The sequence below is a fragment of the Homo sapiens genome, chromosome 11 (assembly GCF_000001405.40).
Source record: "Homo sapiens chromosome 11, GRCh38.p14 Primary Assembly".
NCBI classification, from domain to species: domain Eukaryota; kingdom Metazoa; phylum Chordata; class Mammalia; order Primates; family Hominidae; genus Homo; species Homo sapiens.
In genome coordinates, this window is record NC_000011.10 from 121,292,652 (window position 1) to 121,313,892 (window position 21,241).

At 38.2% G+C, this 21,241-nt stretch overlaps 1 protein-coding gene across 2 annotated transcripts, besides 3 other annotated features; it reads left to right on the forward strand.

The window, feature by feature from the left end:
- Positions 82–131: a silencer, noted in NCBI's record as "silent region_4000". NCBI's record gives its function as "represses an Ori minimal core promoter by ATAC-STARR-seq in GM12878 lymphoblastoid cells {active_cell/tissue: GM12878}" and the evidence as "EXISTENCE:reporter gene assay evidence [ECO:0000049][PMID:35858748]".
- Positions 120–20,759, forward strand: SC5D (sterol-C5-desaturase). 2 transcript variants are annotated; one of them, NM_006918.5, is made up of 5 exons: positions 120–165; positions 10,715–10,934; positions 11,710–11,842; positions 13,735–13,835; positions 14,406–20,759. In NM_006918.5, the coding sequence occupies exons 2-5, from the start codon at positions 10,725–10,727 to the stop codon at positions 14,859–14,861; spliced, it is 900 nt and encodes a 299-aa protein (NP_008849.2). In that variant the 5' UTR covers positions 120–165; positions 10,715–10,724; the 3' UTR covers positions 14,862–20,759. The 2 variants fall into 2 exon arrangements, with proteins under 2 accessions (NP_008849.2, NP_001020127.1); NM_001024956.3 differs by lacking the exon at positions 120–165 and adding an exon at positions 201–427.
- Positions 2,625–3,166: an enhancer, noted in NCBI's record as "H3K4me1 hESC enhancer chr11:121165985-121166526 (GRCh37/hg19 assembly coordinates)". NCBI's record gives its function as "activates a minimal SCP1, AML or CMV promoter by ChIP-STARR-seq in primed H9 embryonic stem cells {active_cell/tissue: H9 hESC(primed)}" and the evidence as "EXISTENCE:reporter gene assay evidence [ECO:0000049][PMID:30033119]".
- Positions 3,167–3,709: an enhancer, noted in NCBI's record as "H3K27ac-H3K4me1 hESC enhancer chr11:121166527-121167069 (GRCh37/hg19 assembly coordinates)". NCBI's record gives its function as "activates a minimal SCP1, AML or CMV promoter by ChIP-STARR-seq in primed H9 embryonic stem cells {active_cell/tissue: H9 hESC(primed)}" and the evidence as "EXISTENCE:reporter gene assay evidence [ECO:0000049][PMID:30033119]".

Here is a 21,241-nt window from a genome sequence, read left to right on the forward strand (position 1 = left end):
GAGAGCTGCGCGCAGGCCCTTCGCGCGATCTGCCGTCATATCAGCTTATGGCGCCGGTCGCTGATTGGCTGGCCGCTCCAGCCTCCCGGCCCGCTTGCTGGCTGCCCAGCTGCTAGGACAGTTTGCAGAGCAGTGGCGTGCGGAGCGGCGGCGGACCACCTCCAGGTGGGGACGGTGGGTGGGCGGGGAAGGAAGCGGAATACACCTGAGCGGGCTGGGCCGGGGGGCGATGGAATAAAAGAAGATGGAGAGACTTCAGCGCCTGGGACTCGGGTGGGCGAGGCGGAAGGTGTCCTCGCAGCACGGCTTTTCTCCGCGCCGCGGTTGGTTAGCGAGTGCCCTCTGGGTGCTAGGCGTTGGGCGGATGGTAGGATCGCGGTAGCATACGGATCCGAGTCCTGCGCCGAGTGAGAGGAGAGGCTGGCAGGTAGCCTGGCATCCCGAAGACTGGCGGCGAGGGCTGGGCCGGGGGACCTCGGGGCCTGGAGGGCTGCGCCACCTGGGAGTCCGGGCGGAGGGGCCTTCCGCTCGCGCTGGGAGGGATCGCGGGGCCGATAGGGAGGCCTGGACTTGAAGGAGCCGACCGTGGACGGGCTTAAAGAAAATGCAGTGTTTGATGTTGGGTGTTGCAGATCTCTTACTCAAGGGAATTCTGGTCTGGCTGCTGAACACGAATGCTTTACTTTTCCCTTCGTTCTGGGAGGGTTTTTTTCTTTTAAAGGCCAGAAGAATCAGGCTGAAGAACTGGTCGGTATCAGAACTCCTGACCATTGCAAGCCTCTGTTGCTGCGGCGTAATTAGAATGAAGGGACAGCAATCTGGGGCTGAGGAGACTGAAAGGAAAAGGGAAATAATCTGTTCCTTTTGCATCATAAAAGGAAAAATAATGTATACTGACATCCCTGTGTTACAGCAGAGTAGATTTGGAGGTGGTGTAAGTGAAGAAAACAAGACCTCAGTACATAGAGTTTCCAAACTGGAAAGTTTGTGGCAGCTCGGTACTTTTAGAGGAAACCCTCTGGAAGTTATTTGTCTTTATATCACTATCATTTTTTAAAGTTTCTAATGATTGATACCTAGTAAATAATAACTGATCCTTGATCATTTACAGAGTGCTTTTCCATTCGTTATGTAATGTAATTAATTAGCATGGGGTGGTACTCAGAATCCCTCATCTGCATATAAAACATCTTGAGAGATAACATAACGTGGTAGCAAAGAGAAAGGTTGTGGAATGTACATCCCAGCTGGTTTTTTCTGTTATTGTTGCTTGCTACTGAACAAGTTATTTAAATACTCTGACCTCAGTTTCCCTATCTATAAAGTGGGGAGCATAGAAGTACCTATCTCATAGAGGTATAGGGATTAGATGAGGTTATACAAAAATAATACCTGGTTCTCAATAAATATTAGCTATCATTTTCTATACTTTTAAAGTAGGGCAAAAAGATAATGGTAGACTGAGTTGTTCTAAGCCTAATATTGTTATTATAACTGAGTTTTAAGAAGAAGTTTCTTTAATTCTGCAAGGACAAAGTATTTAAGTTTCTGTTTGAAGCAGTGGTACTTAATTTAGGGTCCTTGGGACCCCTAACTTCAGGGCTTATAACCCCTTAAAATTATATGAGCTTGTAGAGGCACTGAACATTTTTAAAAATTCAGGAGTTGACGACTTGAAGTAGTGGTGAAGAGGCTATAGAACTTGGCAGAAGTTCACGTACTTTGCAACTAGATTGTGTGTATTTGAATCCTAGCTCCAGCATTTATTTACTCTTATGACCCTATGCAAGTTACTTAAAATTTCTGTGCCCAGCTTCTTCATCTATAAAATAATACTAGTACCTACCTTTGAGGCTTCTTGAAAGGGAAAATTAGTTAATATATTTAAAATATTTATATTACCTAGTATATATTAAATATTACTATCAACTACTGTCAGTTATTTTTCAAACAAAAATCAAGTGGCACCTATTTTATCTTCTATTGAAGTAATTTTGACGCATTTTTGACGGCCTTAACAGTGATAATCATATAGATGCTATTTTATTGAGTACCTTTCTTGGGTCAAATGTCAAAAGTCTACTTAGTCTCTAAACCTCACAGCAATCAAACATGTTTGTGTTCTTTTTGGTTGCACGATACTATTCTAGGTATTGTATTGAAGTAGGGCCACATGGCACTGTGGGGAACATGTAGATTGGCTCATCAGCTGTTACCAACCTTTAGTGATATAGCAATATCCTTTTCAATTATTAAATGTTTATGTTATCTGATATTACGTAGTACCCTGTCCCTGCTACACCACCTCCCTTGGCAGTCTTCACCCCTATAACTTCAACTACTACCTGTATACTAACCAGGCTCGCTTTTGAACTTCACATTTATATTTACATGTGGCCTATTGCTTATATCTAAGATAGAAGATGAGCCACAGATAATTAGGTTTTAAGATCTACATTGAACCCGTTTTGAACCCCAGATATCTGAGACAGGTCTCAGTCAATTTAGGAAGTTTATTTTGCCAAGGTTAAGGATTCACCCGTGACACAGCCTCAGGAAGCCCTGACAATATGTGCCCAAGGTGGTCGGGGACACAGTTTGCTTTTATACATTTTAGGGAGACATGAGACATCAATCAATATGTGTAAGAAGTACATTGGTTGGGTCTGGTAAGGCGGGACAACTCACAGTGGGGGCTTCCAGGTTAGAAGCAGATAAGAGACAAAGGTTGCATTATTTTGAGTCCTTGATTAGCCTTCCACTGAATGCACACATTTCGTCTGGCTCAGTGAATCTGCATGTTTACATAAACAATAGGGCAGAGGAAGCAATCAGAAATCCATTTGTGTCAGGTGAGCCTCAGAGGGATGACTTTGAGTCCTGTCTGTCCTTTATCCACAAAGGAATTTTCTGAGGGCAAATTGTGAGGGAGGGATGTAGCTTCTCATCCTTGTAGCTGTCTTATTTAGGAATAAAGCGGGAGGCAGGTTTGCCTAACATAGTTCCCAGCCTGACTTTTCTCTTAGCTTAGTGATTTTGGAGTCCCAAGATTTATTTTCTGTTCACACCATCATTCCTTACCCACCCCCTATTCCTACCCTACCCAAATCTGCTAGCTCTGCCAGTATTCCCTATTTCAATTACAATGACATCACCATCTACTTAGACCAGCTAAAGTCTCACAGTCATCCTAGATTTCTCTCTCTTTCACTTCCCAGCAAACGTGGGTTATCCAAATCCTGTGGGTGTTTTTACTTGCGCGAAATCTCTGCTGGCTAGTCTTAACAGCCACTGCCCGAGGTCAGGCTATCATTTTCTCTGGGTTATTCTACCACAGGAACAACCAAACTAGTCTCCCTGCTTCTCACCGATAACCCATATTTCTTTTCTTTCCTTTTTTATAGTGACGGAGTCTTGCCGTGTTGCCCAGGCTGGTCTCGAACTCCTGGCTTCAAGCGGTCCTCCTACCTCAGCCTCCCAAAGTGCTGGGAATAAGCATTAGCCACTTCACCTAGCCTAGTAGTCCAGATTTCTAATGGAATGGTTTTTATGAAATGTGGGTCTGATTGTATCTTTTTCCTACCTAGAAATCTTTAGTGTCTCCTCATAGCGTGTGAGAGAAAGTCCAAATTCCTCAGCAGGACAGCAGATCCCTCCATGCGTAGTCTAACAAATCTCCTTTACAAGTCCATCCCCTAACATGTTTTTCCCTCTGCTCCACCCCATCACCCTGTCTAACACCCACCAACCACACGCAGTGAGCCATGAATGCATCATGCTCTTCTCTTGCTTTGCAGTTGTGACTTCTCTTTGGAATGGCTATCCCTAACCTTTTCTTTCTGGTGATGTCCTTCAAAGTCCAAATCTAATATCATATTCACTAGGAAGCCTTTTACCATAAGCTGAGGTAGTTGTGTTGTCTTTTCTGATCTCATAGAATTTGCATATATATCTGTATTGCAGCACGTGTCCTATTGCTAGAATTGTTTTTGTAGTTGCCCTACCTTTAAGACTGATTTAGACTGTGTCTGTTTAATGTTTGTATGCTCATTACCTAGTGTGGTGCTTAACAATAAGTTCTTATTTGAATGAATTAACAATGGCATGTATGATGAGGAATATATGTTAATATCTGGCATTTGGTGCTAATTAAATTTTTCTTTTCCTGACAAAGTGAGGAAATGTTCATAATTCATATCATAAACAAAGGGCCAAACTCCCTAATATATAAGGAGCTTCTAGAATTTGACTTTTATAAAGATACTAAAAACTCAGTGGGAAAACGGGCAAAGGATAAAAACAGATAAACACAGAAAAAAATATAAATTATTCTAAATATATGGAATGATGCTCAACTTTACTCATAATAAGGTAAATGCAAATTAAGTATACCCGAGATAGCCCTTCTTTCTTGATGAATATGTGAAAGTTTGATGATATCCCCTGCTAGTAAGATTGCAGAGAAATAGGTAAGGTACTGTCCTACATCGTTTGAGGACTACAAAGTAGTTAAACTCTTATGGAGAGCGATGTAGCAATATCTACCAAAGTTATGAGTGTATAACTCTTTCGCTCAGCTCTTCTTTTAGAAATCTGCCTAATGAGGGCCTGTCATTGTAGCATTATTTGTAATAGCAAAAAATGGAACCTATCCAAATATCTAGATATGTGTTAAGTAAACACCTATATAACAGTGAATTAGACATAATTCAGTTGAACTCACAGAAATGGACACAGGTCCATAGTCCCTAGTCACAATTTGGAACTCTGGAAAGCCCTGTAAAACCAAAAAGTTGTTTTCTTTTTGCTTTAAGTTCGGCTCTCAAAATCATTTGATGACAAATTCTCACTCCATCTGACCGAGGTGCCCATTGTGTCTTGGCACACCTACCAGGTATTCCTGGTGTTTTTTATTGTTTTGTTAATTTGGGTTTAACGTGGCAGTGTGGGAACTACCACCACATGTGACTTAAAGAATAGAAAAACAGATCGTGGACGTTTTATAGTGGTAGTAAGGACTAAGAATTGATGAAAAATAGGGAGACATTGCAGAGGACTGAAAATGAAGATTCTAACCATGTTTCGGTTAAGTGGATTTCACAATAGGAAGTAAACAGATGCCACTCATTGCTTTGTTGATGATGGAAAAAGCTGGCATATATGAAGACCTGCTACTGAAGGATGTATTTAGTATTAACAAGGAAGAATTCAGAAACTTAGGAAGCAGTGTGGTGAAAAATATCTAAAAGTATGACAAGAGTTAATTGAAAATTTACTTTCTAGACAGCTCTTTTATGCATTCTCCTCAACTGTAGGTTATAGTTTTTAATCATTTACTTTTACTTCACTGTGACCAGAATACAGCCTTTTTCTTTGGGTCTTGCTCTGTTGCCCAGGCTGGAGTTCAGTGGCACGAATATGGCTCACGGTAGCCTTGAACTCCTTAAGCAATCCTCCCACCTTAGCCTCCTGAGGGTAGCTGGGACCACAGGGCTGTGCACCACGCCCGGCTAATTTTTGTATATTTTGTAGAGATGGGATTTCAGTATATTGCCCAGGCTGTTCTCCAACCTCTGAGCTCAAGGAATAAGCCTGCCTCCCAAAGCGCTGGTATTACAGTCATGAGCCACCATGCCTGACCAGAATACAATCTTTTTCTCCAAGGAGTGCTACACTCTGGGAAAAAGCAAGTATATTGCTTGCACAGTTAAGGGAGGCCTAGGAATCAAAACTTCCTTTAAGAGTTCAGTTGTAAAGATCCTGTTGTCAAAATTACTTAATGCTTGAAATGATGTTGATAAATCAGCAATAATAAATGTTTAACATTTTAGCTGACAATGAGGTTTGAAAATGAACCTGTAGATATTTTGGAAGATTTTCTATCACTAATGAGGTGATGATACCTAATCTCTTTAATTATACCATACATTTAATGGCCCAAACCATAAATACGTCAGGAGAAGCTGATGTTGAAGAAATGCTGAACATTAATCCTGATGCTTCTGTTCGGCACTTTTTGGGTGATGGGGACATTGCTGAAAGGTTTCTAAATGCACATAATTGTCACGCACGTCCATGTGAAGAGACCACCAAACAGCCTTTGTGTGAGCAATAAAGCTTTTTTAATCACCTGGATGCAGTCAGGCTGAGTCCGAAAAGAGAGTCAGCAAAAGGAGTTAGGGGTGGGGCAGTTTTGAAGGATTTGAGTAGGTAGTGGAAAATTATAGTCAAAGGGAGTTGTTCTCTTGCGGGTCACAAGGTGCTCAGTAGGGGAGCTTCTGAGCCAGGAGAAGGAATGTTACAAGGTAATGTCATCAGTTAAGGCAGGAACCGGCCATTTTCACTTCTTTTGTAATTCTTCAGTTGCTTCAGGCCATCTGGATGTATACGTGCAGACTTGGGCTCAGAGGCCTGACAATAGCGGGAAGATAGTAATAACTACATGAATGATTAAATGATGACTATATTGTGAACACAGATGGGAAGATCACTGAAGGCATTATGTAAATAATCATTGCTTAAGCAGAAATATATTAATAAGACAGATGACATTGGTAGAAATCTTTTGAAAAGGTTATCTTGGATATTGTTGCTTTATCACTTGAGAATCCTGATCCTGGCCCATGACCAATGTCTAATTCCAACCTGATAGGCCCTTCTCTTTAAGATTCTCAAGCAATCAGATGTAATGAACATTTATTGCGTGTATGTATACATATACATGCACAAGTATTTAACTTTGATTTTATATATATTTGAAAGTTTACTGAATTTTTCTTTTAAAAAGAGAATACATTGTTTATTGTCTGTACCAGTCTATTTTCCATTTGTCATTTGTTACTCCATACATAATTACATAAATTGTTAATATACAAATGAATTATAATACCATTTACAGTATGTACTTATCCCACTTAATGTGAATATTCACATTTTCTAAACAAATATTTGATATGAGCTGGTCATGGTGACTCATGCCTGTAATCCTAGCACTTTGGGAGGCTGAGGTGGGTGGATTGCTTGAGTCCAGGAGTTTGAGACCAGCCTGGGCAATATAATGAGCCCTTGTCCATACAAAAAAATTTTTTCTTAATTGACTGGGCATGGTGGTGCCCACCTGTAGTACCAGCTCCTCAGGAGGCTGAGTCAGAAGGATCACTTGAGCCCGGGAGGCAGAGGTTGCAGTGAGCTGAGATTACACTACTGCACTCCAGCCTGAATGACAGAGCAAGACCTTGTCTCTAAATGAATAAATAAATAATAAAAAAGAACCAAAACCCCCAAATATTTGATTTATTTAATGACAGGGAGAAGTTTTGACCTTTGCAAAATGTATTTATAGGAATTTTGAATTCCGAAATAACATCTGATGCCAAATGTTTTAAGTAAGAATGGTAGTAGACCTGTATTATAAAAAAGGAGATGGTGACTTCCAAAACAGCAGAGTAAGAATCTCTGAAAATCTCTTCTTTATAAAAAGCAACAAAACACTGACAGAAGTTGTCAGAATCAGCTTTTTTAGAGCTCTAGGAATTAAAACTTTATGAGTTAAAGCTTTACAATAATCTTAGCAGCCTTTATTTGAGAAAAGTAGTTGAATCTCAGTAAGAACAATGAGCTTTGGACATTTTCCGTCCTTTACCATCTCCCTTTTGCTGACTTCATGGTAGCCTTGAAAACTAAGCCTTACAACACAGTAACTATGAAAAACAGCAGCCTGGATGGAAGGTACAGAATAGGTTTGCAGCCTCACCAAAGGCCACAACCCAGAAAATCATCACCACTTGATCTCTCTGGCAATTCTCAAGGCTTGTGTTTATATGACCTGTCTTAGAGCTTGTTCAATATCATCCTGTCCCAGGGTGTTTTGTCAAGGAGAGTCATTATTTACACATAACAGGTCTTAGAGGCACTATTATCAGCTGGCACTAACAAAAGCCTGACCAAAAATACTTAAAAGGGAATACTGAGAAATGAGATATCCCTAGGGGGCTTTGAAAAGCTCTGTTTTCCTGAGAATCTAGAATGATTCCCATGAGCAGGGCTGTTGCACATACCCAAGAAAGGGGAGAAGGCCCTAATTTCCCCTTTGGCTGACCTTGAGGGTTTACGCAAGCAGTAAGTTCAGGCCAGTCAATTTTAGAGTGACAACTAAAGTATTGAAAGCATGGCCCAACACAGCACCTTGGCAAAGGCTGGGGGACTTAACTGGTTCAAAGCACTTAAGAAAATCACTCCAGTCATTAGTAAGAGACTTGTAGCTGCACACAACAAATAAAACAGGTATGTAATTAGTTCAGAGAATTACTTAACGCACAGCAACAACAAAAGCAACTTAAAGCCCTGGGGCAGGGTGGGCGGTGGTGCATACAATCTGATTTCAAGAGTTACCCCATCATATTACTTAAAATATCCCATTTTCCATAAAAAATTAAAAAACACAAACAGGAAAGTATGGCCTGTACACACAAAAAGGCAATCAGTCAGTAGAAACTCTCTCTCAGAAAGCCCAGATGTTGGACTTACAAGGCAAAGACTCTAAATCAGCTACTACAAATATAAAAGAACTAAGGAACACCACGTTTAACTAACTAAAAGGAAGTATTAGAACAGTTTCTTCCCAAGTAGAGAATATCAATAAAGTGATAAAAGTTTTTTTTTTTTTTTTTTAAAGAACCAAATGGAAACGCAGGTGTTGAAAAGTACAGTGACTGAAACTGTCTTGCTTAACAGCAGATTTGAGCCAACAGAGCACAGAACTGGAAGATAGGTCAATTGAGATTAAACAGCTGGGAAGAGAAAGAAAATGAAGAAATACAAACAGAGACTTGGGGACACTGTCATGCATTTCCACATAAGCATAATGAGAGTCCTAAAAGGAGAAGAGAGAAAGTCATAGAAAGTTTAAGAAAGAGTGGCCCCAGACTCACCAAATTTGATGAAAAACTTTACACATCCTAGAAGTTCAACAGTATAGGGTTGGGGTTTATTTTTGGGGTGCTGAAAATGTTCTGAAACTTGATAGTGGTAATGATTGCATAGCTCTGAGAATGCTAAAAAACTAGTCAATCATATACTTTAGTGAATTTTATGGTATGTGAATTATATCTCAATAAACCTGTTTCTTTAAAAACAAAAAAAGGAGGAGCATGATATTTATGTAGGGATGGAAAGATCTCCAAGATATATATTCAATTAAGAAAAAGGAACTTCATGGTGTATATAGTATGCCATGTTTTGTAAGGAGGGAGAGAAAAATTTGTCATCATTCCATCTTACATTAACAAACACCGTAAGGATTCTCAGGAAACTAATAGATATGGTCACCCAGAGAGGTGGAAATGAAATGACGGTGTGGTTTACAGTGACATGGATGGAAGCAAGGCTTTGCATTGTATGTCTTTTCCTGTCAGTTTCTCATTTTCTTAAATCCCTGTGGGAATTTAGTGGAGAAATCTCATAGGGAATCTAGTGAAGGAAATAGGCTACAAAGAAGTAAATAAGTATTTTCAGAATTTTCCTTACCTGTGGGCTATTTTGTTTCATGAATTGATGTTTATTAACGTGGCCCAATATGTAGGAGATAAAGGCCGTTTGAACACCTGAAATCTATTGTGGGTAGGCAATTTGCAGATTGGCTTCTTGTTCAAAAATTTCAGTTCAAGTGAGAGACATTTTAGATGCTGAACACGTTTTCTTGTGCGAACAATGCAATGAGGGATGAGTGAGTCGATCATAAATGATAGATTCCATAGTCAGATCACAAAAGCTGACCACAATATCACCGAACTGTATTGTAACAGGACCATGAGTATAGAATGGACTTAAATATGTACTGAACTGACTAATGTTTTTTAGAGTTTAAGCATCTGAAACAGGAGTTGGCAAACTATCTGTAAATGGCCAGGTAGTAAATGCCTTCGGTTCAACGGGCCATACTGTCTCTGTTGCAGTGATACTATAAGCCCACCTTTGTAGCAGAAAAGCAGCCACAGACAGTATGTAAACATCTGGGTGTCGCTGTGTTCCATAAAGATTTTTACAAAGCAGGCTCTGAGTTTGGCCCGTGGGCTGCAATTTACCAACTCCCGATCTGGAATATTGATTAGAGGTAGAGAAATAAATGTATTCCAGTTCTTAACACCAAGAATACATCTTCCTTTGTTCTGTCAATGGGAGTGTCAGAAGAACAGATAGTCCCAATTCTATGGTTGTGGTGGCAGCATGGATATCTTTTAGGGAATTTATCTTAGGTGTCAGTGCTGAAGCAAAAATCTCTGAAGTATGAATCCTTGAAGGAGAGAGATGAGCTGAAACTTGTAGCTGAAAGAGGAAACTATTTGTCTGAGTACCTAGTCCCCTGCATTCCCATCTTTACCACTTGCCATGCTGCCATAGGACGCGGTAGGGAATGACACTGAAATGGAATTCCATCTGGGCTTGTGCCACTTAGCAGCTTGATGACCTTTCCTGGGCCTCAGTTTCTCTAACTGAGCTTTAGCATCCCCATACATAGTATGAAGAGATTGGACTAGAGATGATATCTAAGATCCCTTCTGGCTCTAAAGATGGCATGTAGGGGATTCTGATAGCAGCAGATGTACTGCATATGACTGTTCTTAAATCAGGAACTTGAGATATAGTGTTTCTGAAAAATTTTTGCCTGGAAAAATAGAGACATGGTAACTAATTGTCACACATGCTTATTTTTTAGGGGCTAAGTGATGGATCTTGTACTCCGTGTTGCAGATTACTATTTTTTTACACCATACGTGTATCCAGCCACATGGCCAGAAGATGACATCTTCCGACAAGCTATTAGTCTTCTGATTGTAACAAATGTTGGTGCTTACATCCTTTATTTCTTCTGTGCAACACTGAGCTATTATTTTGTCTTCGATCATGCATTAATGAAACATCCACAATTTTTAAAGGTAAGAAATGTTTTTACCTATTTTCTAACGATTAAAGTAAAAATAACAATATGATATATTTCTGAGATTTTTAGATTAAGCTGATTATATGTAACCATTAAATAAAATTTTGGAGACCAACCACAAATGGGTTAGATATTTTCATGAGGGTTAATCCCTGCTCTCCTTCCCTTAGTTTAAGCAAATCTAACTTTTTAATAAAACTATAAGTCTAGTATCGTATCTTGCTAGATGCATATTGGAGCATTTTTATGCTGATATTGATGAGTAAATAAATGCATACATTTATGTAATTATTTTAATATATGATTTTCACAAACTGAAATGTGTTTTTTTACCATGTTTTGTTTTTTGGCTAGATAGGGGATTCAAACTCAGTAGTTTTAAAGTTGTTTACAATCATTTTTAAATTTCGGTTGTTTGTACTTGTCAGTGACTCCAAGGACTGAACAGCAAAAAGAAAAAATAGAGAGGATTGGGGATGGAAGTTAATTAGGAAAGAAATGGTTATTCCATAAATAGAAGTTTAGAATGCAGATTTTGGAGGAAGGAAAAAAGGTTTCAGAATTTGAAATACTTATTGCATTTTCTCAGTACAAAAGGAATGATTTTCTTACATACCTATTTTTATGTATTTAAAATTTTAATAGAAACAGTTTGGAGGTAAGCCCCTTCATGTAAAAGAGATTTTAAAAATCCAGTCCAGAACAGTTTTATGCTAGTTTTGTTTAACATGGATTTTGTGATTTTTAAGTATTGGAAATTTCACTTTCAGAATCAAGTCCGTCGAGAGATTAAGTTTACTGTCCAGGCATTGCCATGGATAAGTATTCTTACTGTTGCACTGTTCTTGCTGGAGATAAGAGGTTACAGCAAATTACATGATGACCTAGGAGAGTTTCCATATGGTAAGTAAATAACACGAGTGTCAGGAAGAGAGTAGTCTAAGCACAGGTTAGTTTCCTTAAAAAAACAAGTCTGCCCTTTTTTTTTTCATCTTTTAAAATAATTACAAATTATTCAGTTGTTTTTTAATGTTCTATTTTCATGTGTTCATGTCTTGCCACATGTGCATTTCTTTAGTTTTTCTATCAATCTGAAAGTCTGCTGTAGATGAGATTGTGTCTGGCGGAAGATTGGAGTGATCAGAGATGGGTCCTTGCATTTGTTTTCTATTAATTATTGAATTCAACCTTCTAAAAAAAACTTGAGTAGCTTATGTCATTGCTGAAAGTTAAAAACAGATTTTTAAAATGCATTATTCTGCTTCTTAGAAACTGTAACTCTTCTGGCATACAACCACCCACTTTTCTGTGCCTGTATACTTCATTGTTTACATTACACAAATGAAGTCCTGAGGTGCATAGTGGTTTGGGCTCTGAATTTTGTTTCTCTTAGCAACTTACATGGTTGTATTTTCATGTCAAAAAAATCTTGAGATTATGTAATATATTAGTCATAGTACTGTGCGGATATTCATAAGTTATGTAAATGATACCTAATTGTTAGACCTTCAGATTGTTACTCTTTTTTGTATTATAAACAGCCCTGTAGTGAGTAAACTTTTGTGAAATTCTGAAACTTTTTCAAGATACATTTCTAGGATCTAGTATGTAAAAAGCAAGAATCATAGTATTTATTGAAGGCTGATATGTGTCAGTGACAGTTCTCAGCTCTTCACAAGAATCAGTCCATTGTTTTCCTACAATTCTATGAGATAGGTACTATCACTGTGCTCCTTTTATAGGTGAGTCAATGAGGTGTACAGAGAGTTTCAGTAACGAGTTGGTGGTAGATCTGAGACTTGGACTCAGGCTTGCAGGCACCAGCACCCCCACACTTTAAGTAAGAAGTTAGTTATTGCCGGGCGCGGTGGCTCAATCCTGTAATCCCAGCACTTTGGGAGACCGAGGTAGGAGGATCACGAGGTCAGGAGTATGAGACCATCCTGGCCAACATGGTGAAACCCCATCTCTACTAAAATACAAAAAATTAGCGGGGTGTGGTGGTGCACACCTGTAGTCCCAGCTACTCAGGAGGGTGAGGCAGGAGAATCCCTTGAACCTGGGAGGCAGAGATTGCGCCACTGCACTCCAGCCTGGGCGACAGAGCGAGACTCCGTCTCAAAAAAAAAAAAGAAAAAAAAAGTCAGTTATTCAGAAGAAGGAACAAAAAATTATATACTAGAGTAATGAATTGGCTGGGCTTTGAAAAATGGATATGATTATGAGTTAAAATAAAGGGAGAGAGGACATTTTAGGTTCTTGAACCCCTATGATGAAAGATACAGAGGTAAAACTTCCAAGACAGTGGGAGGACATTGAGTAAACCTGCCTGGTTAGAGTAGAAATACAGGAGTGATGAGGTTGGAAAGATCCGAAAGGGGTGGAGTATGGAATAAATGCTAAATTTAAAGTATTTAGTGGAAAGTATATTTTAAGCAGGGAGATAATGTGTAAAGATGGGTTTTAGGAAGATTAATATGAAGGAAGTGATGATTCCCAGAGATTTAAATAATAAAGATGTCTTAGGAGTATCCTGTCTCACAAATATCTTTATAGTTTAATTAAGAAGTACTTTAGGTAGAACATTTCAAGTACTTATGCGAGGGAAATGAGGAAATGACCAGATTCCAAGAAGCCAAGAGAGATTAGTTTATAATATACTGAATTAGCCAGAACAGATCATTTATAATGTTTGAGTCTAGGATCCCATTTTGCACTCAGATGGACATGTGAAAAGTGAACTCTAATCCCAGGAGCTGAGTTTTGATTCTTCTGTTTCCCGTTTTCTTTTCTAGGATTGTTTGAACTTGTCGTTAGTATAATATCTTTCCTCTTTTTCACTGACATGTTCATCTACTGGATTCACAGAGGCCTTCATCATAGACTGGTATATAAGGTAAAGTCATTTGTGGTGAAAAGAGAAAAAAGGTTACACATTTCAGCAATGTATGATTATAAATTCTGTTCTCTATTTCCAAGAATTTCCTCTACCCATATTAAATGTCTAAGTAGCCATAATCATAACAGGTACAGGGTGCATTTTGTTCATATTCTTCTTTATGGGTCTAAGGGGCTGTCTTAAAATTCGTCTGTTCCGGTAACAGGTACACATGGACTTACAGAGGGAACAATAGACATTAGAGACTCCAGAAGGTGGGAGGATGGGAGAGGAGTGAGGGATGAGACGCTCCCTATTGGGTACAATGTGCACTCTTCAGGTGCTAGGTACACTAAAAGCCAGACTTCACCACTGTGCAGTATATCCATGGAACACCACTGCACTTGTACTCATAAATCCATATAAAATTATACTGTTTTAGGGCGAAGAAGGACATTTTATAGAATAAATAATTTTGCTGATCTCTACAGGATTTGTTAGGTTGTTTCCAACATGAGTGTGAGAAGCTAAGTTGAATGTTGCACGGGGTAAAGTTTGCAGTGCTAATTGTGTCCTTTTCTCCTGCAGCGCCTACATAAACCTCACCATATTTGGAAGATTCCTACTCCATTTGCAAGTCATGCTTTTCACCCTATTGATGGCTTTCTTCAGAGTCTACCTTACCATATATACCCTTTTATCTTTCCATTACACAAGGTGGTTTATTTAAGTCTGTACATCTTGGTTAATATCTGGACAATTTCCATTCATGACGGTGATTTTCGTGTCCCCCAAATCTTACAGCCATTTATTAATGGCTCAGCTCATCATACAGACCACCATATGTTCTTTGACTATAATTATGGACAATATTTCACTTTGTGGGATAGGATTGGCGGCTCATTCAAAAATCCTTCATCCTTTGAGGGGAAGGGACCGCTCAGTTATGTGAAGGAGATGACAGAGGGAAAGCGCAGCAGCCATTCAGGAAATGGCTGTAAGAATGAAAAATTATTCAATGGAGAGTTTACAAAGACTGAATAGATTATTGCCCAGTTATTCTTAAGTAAGGACAAAGAAGGAAATATCATCGTATTTCTTTTTTTTAATAAGGAAAAAATAATATCCATACAGTCAAGATACATAGTAAATGGTATCATTTGGAAATCAGCATCGTGGGCACTGCTGAGGAATGATCCTAGTGGTAGGTCAGAAGAAGATGCTGTGAACACCAGGACTTTAATCTTATGCTTAAAATGCCAGATGTTGTTCGGGGGACAACTTGTATCTTTCTAGCAGCAGATCTGTAGTTTGTATAGCCTCAACAACAATTTTAAATAAGATGGAGAATAAATTATTGAGGGGACTAGGCTATATGCATTTGCCTTCATCCACCCATGTTTATTAAGAATCATTGTGCTTAATAATACCAAGACTAAGCACCATAACCAAGAAATACTAATGTAAAGATTGTTTCTTGTTTCAGGAATGGTTAATTCTTCAACGTTGGTATGATAATGATAACTTGTTTTGACTTGAATAAAGTACTACATCAGTGTGGAAAAAAATTCTGATACATTAGCAGCTATGTAAATGACCTAATTGATAGCAGGTGTAATAAGACTATCGTCTTCCTACACATAGGAGGCTCATTCTCTGGACACACTATCACCTATTACATTTTACTGATTAACAAATAAATTGGAATTTAAAAATATCGATATCACCATGATTTAATCCAGATCTGGGATTATGTAGCTAAACATTGTGATGATTATTATTTAAAACCATTATTTAATAAGAGTAAAAATATGTGAATCTGGATATATTTAAAAAAAGAAATTTGATGCCCAGATAATATATTAGGCACTACTGATTTTTTAGTTAAATTGATGCACTACACTTTTGATGTTTGAAGTTACAAACCTGTAATTTTTTTGTAAAGGAAATAATTGCCAAATACCTAGGCCCATTGCTGACGATTAGTTCTAAAATCTTATTCCTCCTCTTCTCCCCTCACTTTTCCCTACTTCCTCTGCAAAAAGATTTAACAAATACATTCATAAGGAAATGTGTGTTGTAACAAATATATTGCAAAAACATAGTTTGTAAAGGCATTCTATAAGCTATTTATGTAAAATCAATAAAAGTTGATCATAATTAAACTGTATCAGTTGAGTATTATAGCAGCACAAAGTATTCTTTGTACAGATTTTGTGCCAATTTGAAGCCACAGAAATGATGTGGATTGTTAATTGTGTTTTAGAACATCCCCGGACACTCAGTGTCACAGGGGGAAAGAAGTGGGTACCACATTCTGTTTATATTTCACATTTTAACTAGATTTGAGTGTTTTTAGCAAGAAATCAGTCTTAAAATCTAATGTCTGGGATCCAGAAGAAAATGTCTTTAATCTGTGAGTTATTGTCACAATGTCATCTTATTTAAATGTACCAATTAGCATTTTGTAATAGGCAAATGTCATTTAGTGCTTTTCACCAATCCCACTCACCCCCGGTGCTCCGCCTTGCCTAAGAAAAAGAAATTAAGGAGAAGTAAACTTTATTTCCTAATATAATGTCAGCTGATATTTATTGAGCTTTTCCTCTTTGCCCAGAGACTAGGACCCAAAGAAGTTAAGTAACTATTCCCAGGTTTATTTCTCTCTCATATGATGTCCCATGTGGATGTTTGTGGTCAGTGGACAGCTTTCCACCTAGTCTTTCTGCGACCCAGGCTCCTTCCTCTTGGGGCTCTGCCTTTCTCTCAGTCCATAGAGCCCTCTTTGTTGAAAGAGCACATAGGAAAAGAAGGAAAAGTCTGTGTGGAAAATGTTTCTGGGTCAGGCCTGGAAGTGGTGCATATCTCTTCCGCCCATGTTCCTTTGGACAGAACTCCGTCACATGGCCCACCTAGAGAGATTTTGGGAAATGTGTCCAGCTGTGTGCCTGGGAGGAAGGGGGCACCATTTTCTTGAGCAGCTAGACAGTTTGCCGTATTTGTGGTGTTCTCCTCTTGTTGATGTTGAAATGGTGAATGAGCCATAAAGTATTTCAGGTTATCCACACACTAATCATCTCAGTGTCTTTAATTCTTAACTCCAATATGAATGTTTAAAGCTTCCTCTAGATTCTTATTCCTATATAACTAATAGAGAAGAAAGGACAGCTTCCTATGGGGAAGACAGAGGCTTCCTCATAGATGTTAGGAATAATCAAACTTGCCCCTGCCCTTTCACCCGTCTCAAATTCTGGTCTTTTAAAGCAGCGTTATGTTAAGTAGTCCTAACATTGTAATATACAGTACTGCCACATTCTCCTACTTTCTATTAGAGGAAGTCAGAGAATATTTATGGAAGTGAGGACCCAAATTACCTTCTACAGATGACTTTTATAGTTACAGGACAGAAAGTGAAAATCAAGGTTACGTTTTCTACTTTTGTGGTAGAAATTGAGAAGTGGGTGGATATGGTTCGAGAAGACCTTTCAGAAACACAGAGACTGAGTCTTTGTCTTCCATGCTGTCTCTGCAGTACTGAGTGAATTTCCTTATACCCTTGTATCATGTTTTCCTCCCATCTTCTAGAAGCTGGGGACAGATTTGGAAGAGAATTACACAAGTTCAGTTTTTTGATACATGGATTTTACAGTGCATGCAGGTTATTTATGTAGAGAGGAGGTCTGGGAGAAAGATGGAAACTAGGGAGATGACTGAGAACAAAGATATTTGGGATTAACACAGATAGAAGAAAAGTTTGAAACCATGAGATTGTCACAGCATGAAAAAAGATATTCAAAGACACTAACCAACTTGAGGGGTGCAGTGGTCTGAATGTGTCCTCCAAAATTCAAATGTGGAAATGTATTTGCCAGTGAGATAGTATGTAGAGGTGGGGCCTTGAGGAAGTGATTAAGTCATGAGGGCTCTGGGATTAATGACTTAAAAAGAGGTGTGAGGCAGCTGTTCAGCCCTTCTGTCTCCTGTCCCTTTTTTTTTTTTTTTTTTTGAGATGGAGTCTTGCTCTGTTGCCCCAGGCTGGAGTGCAGTGGCGTGATCTTGGTTCACTGCAAGCTCCACCTCCCGGGTTCACGCCATTCTCCTGCCTCAGCCTCCCGAGTAGCTGGGACTACAGGTGCCCGCCACCACCACGCCCGGCTAATTTTTTATATTTTTAGTAGAGATGGGGTTTCACCGTGTTAGCCAGGATGGTCTTGATCTCCTGACCTCATGATCTGCCTGCCTCGGCCTCCCAAAGTGCTGGGATTATAGGTGTGAGCCACCATGCCCAGCCCCTTCTGTCCCTTCTAACGTGAGGACCCAGCAACAAGGTACCATCTTGAAAGCAGCAACTGGGGACTCAGCAGACACCAAACCAACTGGTGCTTAACCGTGACTTCCCAGCCTCCAGAGCTGTAAGAAAATAAATTTCTATTATTTATAGATTACCCAGTTGAAGATACTTTGTTAAGGCAGTACAAATGGACTAAGACAAGGGGGAAGAAATTTGCATTCCTGATCTTCCCAACTTCTTCAAATTCACAACACTTGAATGACAGTCTTATTTCAGCACTTACTGCTATCACCTATTACTTTTATGTGTGTCTTACCTATTTGAGATGCCAGATTCCTTGGAAGTAGAGACCGTGTCTGAATCATCATTGTATTAAACCACTCATCCTTAACAAATGCCCAAGCCATGGTTAAAGTTCAATAAATACTTTGTTGAATTTATTAATAAAATGGCAGAAATGTCATTCTCTTCCATATATGTTTAATAAATCCCTGATAGGTGCTAAGCACTGCACTAGGTAAAAATTCTCTTCTGATGCTGTCTTTTTGGCCAACCATTTTTTTATCATTTATTCATTAGCTGACATTTGCTAAGTGCTTTGGAGGGGTCAAAAGGGGAAGTAATGAGAAATCAAAGATGGTCCCTACATCAAGGATAAACTATCTTTTTTTAGTCACTCAAAGTCATAACCCTTTGGAAACAAAACCCACCAGTACCCCAGATTTTGACCACAGATGAATCAGTACTACAAGGACTGGTTAGAGGGTTGAATGAATCTGTATACTCAGCACTTAACACAGCACTCTGGGTAAAAGAAAAAAGATCCTCAAAGATATTAGTTGGTTACATCAAGAAAGGACAAACTTAGGTTAATCTATAACTTCATCTCAGAGGAACAGGAACTTTGGAGATAAACAGGGCTCTGCCACTTGCAAGTTGCACCATCCCTGGTTTCTCCATCTGTAAATTGATTAAAACACTGCCTATCTAATAAGATTAAATAAGTTAGAAGCATTCAGTTAAATGTCAACTGAAACTATTGTTCATGTAAATTGTGCTTGATGCTTTTTCTTTCTAGATTCAATGATTATTGTCATTTTACCTCCATAGGCCCTCAATAGAAATCAGTTGCAGAGGGCAGAAGCCTAGATATTTTCACCTTAAAATTGGAGGGTGAAAGACATTGAGGTGAAGTAGAGATAGAGGGTACACAGAAAAATCGTATAAGTAAAACTAACATCGTTAACATTATTTACTGTAAGTTATCTTTGTAAGAGTGGTAAAATACATTGTGTTGTTAAATAATTTCATTTAAAAAATGCATCACTTTGTGTGTTTTTATATTGCTAAAACCATAAGGCCAGTCTACAAGGTTTGTAGATAAAATAGAAACATACCTTCCTTGAAAAGCAGAATAAATTTTTTAAAGGCAGGAAGGAAGTGTTTGAACCATGTGTCAACAAGCTTTACTGTCAAAGCAGGCTTTTGGTATGGGAAGAAAAATACTTATAAATACTTGTTTTAATATTTGCTTTATTAAAATACATTTAAAATACAGCATTTTTAAATCTCTAAGCTCAACTTGAAGATATAAGAACAGTAAATTTGATAAAAATGAGAAATTACATTCCCATTTCTTTAACAATTTGTAAATTCCAATTATCCTGAACATTTAATACCATTTACATATTTTATTAATCACATTTTCTTAAACATTTGATAAGAGATTTAATATTTTGATCCAACTACCAAAAAAGCAGACTTGTGTACTTGACAGATTTTTCTAAACACTTCACAACTCACGATTCAAACAAAGACAAAATAGCATATCAAAAGTTAATCACTCAGTTGGAAAGCACTCATACCATAGGCTTTTATTCATTTCTTGAATAATTTTGTTATATCTTCCTCTTTTAGGCTGCAATGAGCTATAATTGCACTACTGCACTCCACGCTGGGTGACAGAGCAAGACCCTATCTCTAAAAATAAAAAAGTATATATATATAAAAATATCTTCCTCTATTATAATTTAACTCATTAAGCCATTTATTTAGATGTAAACTTGCCCCCCTGACATGTGGTATGAAACAAATAGAAACCTAGAAATTTAGTGCATATTCAAATATTAAGACAGACACTGGTGTGGTGACTTTTGTCTGTCGCTTCATTGGGACGTTTTTTCTTTCTGATCAACTTAATGAAATTATAATTTACTATAATTAAGTGTAGCCATTTTTACTGTAGAGTTCAATGATCTTTGATGAACGTGTACACCCATGTAACCACCACCCCCAATCAAAGTAAAGAACATTTTCTTACCAGAATAAATTTCCTCTCCGTTTGCAGTCATTCTCCCCAGCCCTAGGTCACCACTGATCCACCTTCTGTTACTGGAAGGTTAGTTTTCTTCCCTGATTTAGAATTTCATATAAATTAAATCAGATAGTATATACTCTTGTGTTTAGTTTCTTTAGCTTAACATGTTTAGAGATATTTGCTGTTGCCTGTGTCTGTAGCTTTTTGTTTTCATTGCTGAATAGTATTTCATTGTAATATACCACAGTTGGTTTATGTATTTGCTGATGAATATTTGTGTTATTTCCAGCGTGGGATTATTATGAATAAAGTTGCTACAAACATTTGTATACAAGTCTTTGTGTGGCTATATGTTGTTATTTCTCGTTGGTAAATATCTATTAGATTTGCTGGGTCATAGGGAAGAGATATATATGTATACGTTTAATTTTATAAAACACTGTGAAACTATTTTCCAAAGGGTTGTACCATTTTACCCTCCTGCTCCCAATGATGAGAATTCCATTTTTCCCGCATGTTCACTAACACTTAGTATCGTCAGTCCTTATTTGTAACCATTCTAGTGGGTGTGAGGTAGTGTCCCACTGTGGCTTAATTTGCATTTTCCTGTGACTAATGATGTTAAGCACCTTTTCTCCTGCTTTTTTTTTTTTTCTTTTTCAAACTTTTTATATCTTTTGTAAAGTATCTGTTTAAATCTTTGGCCATTTTAAAAATTAGGTTGTTTTGGTGTTATTGACTTATAAGATTTTGTATATATTGACAAAAATTCTTTGTTAGATGTATGTATTACCAATATTTACTCCAATTTAGCTT

What these genes read in the sequence shown, in the direction of transcription:
- SC5D (NM_006918.5), top strand. Translation starts at nt 10,725, where the DNA reads ATGGATCTTGTACTCCGTGTTGCAGATTACTATTTTTTTACACCATAC. An exon ending in AACATCCACAATTTTTAAAG is followed by an intron (nt 10,935 to 11,709) that starts GTAAGAAATGTT and finishes TTTCACTTTCAG; the next exon opens with AATCAAGTCCGTCGAGAGAT. An exon ending in ATCATAGACTGGTATATAAG is followed by an intron (nt 13,836 to 14,405) that starts GTAAAGTCATTT and finishes TTTCTCCTGCAG; the next exon opens with CGCCTACATAAACCTCACCA.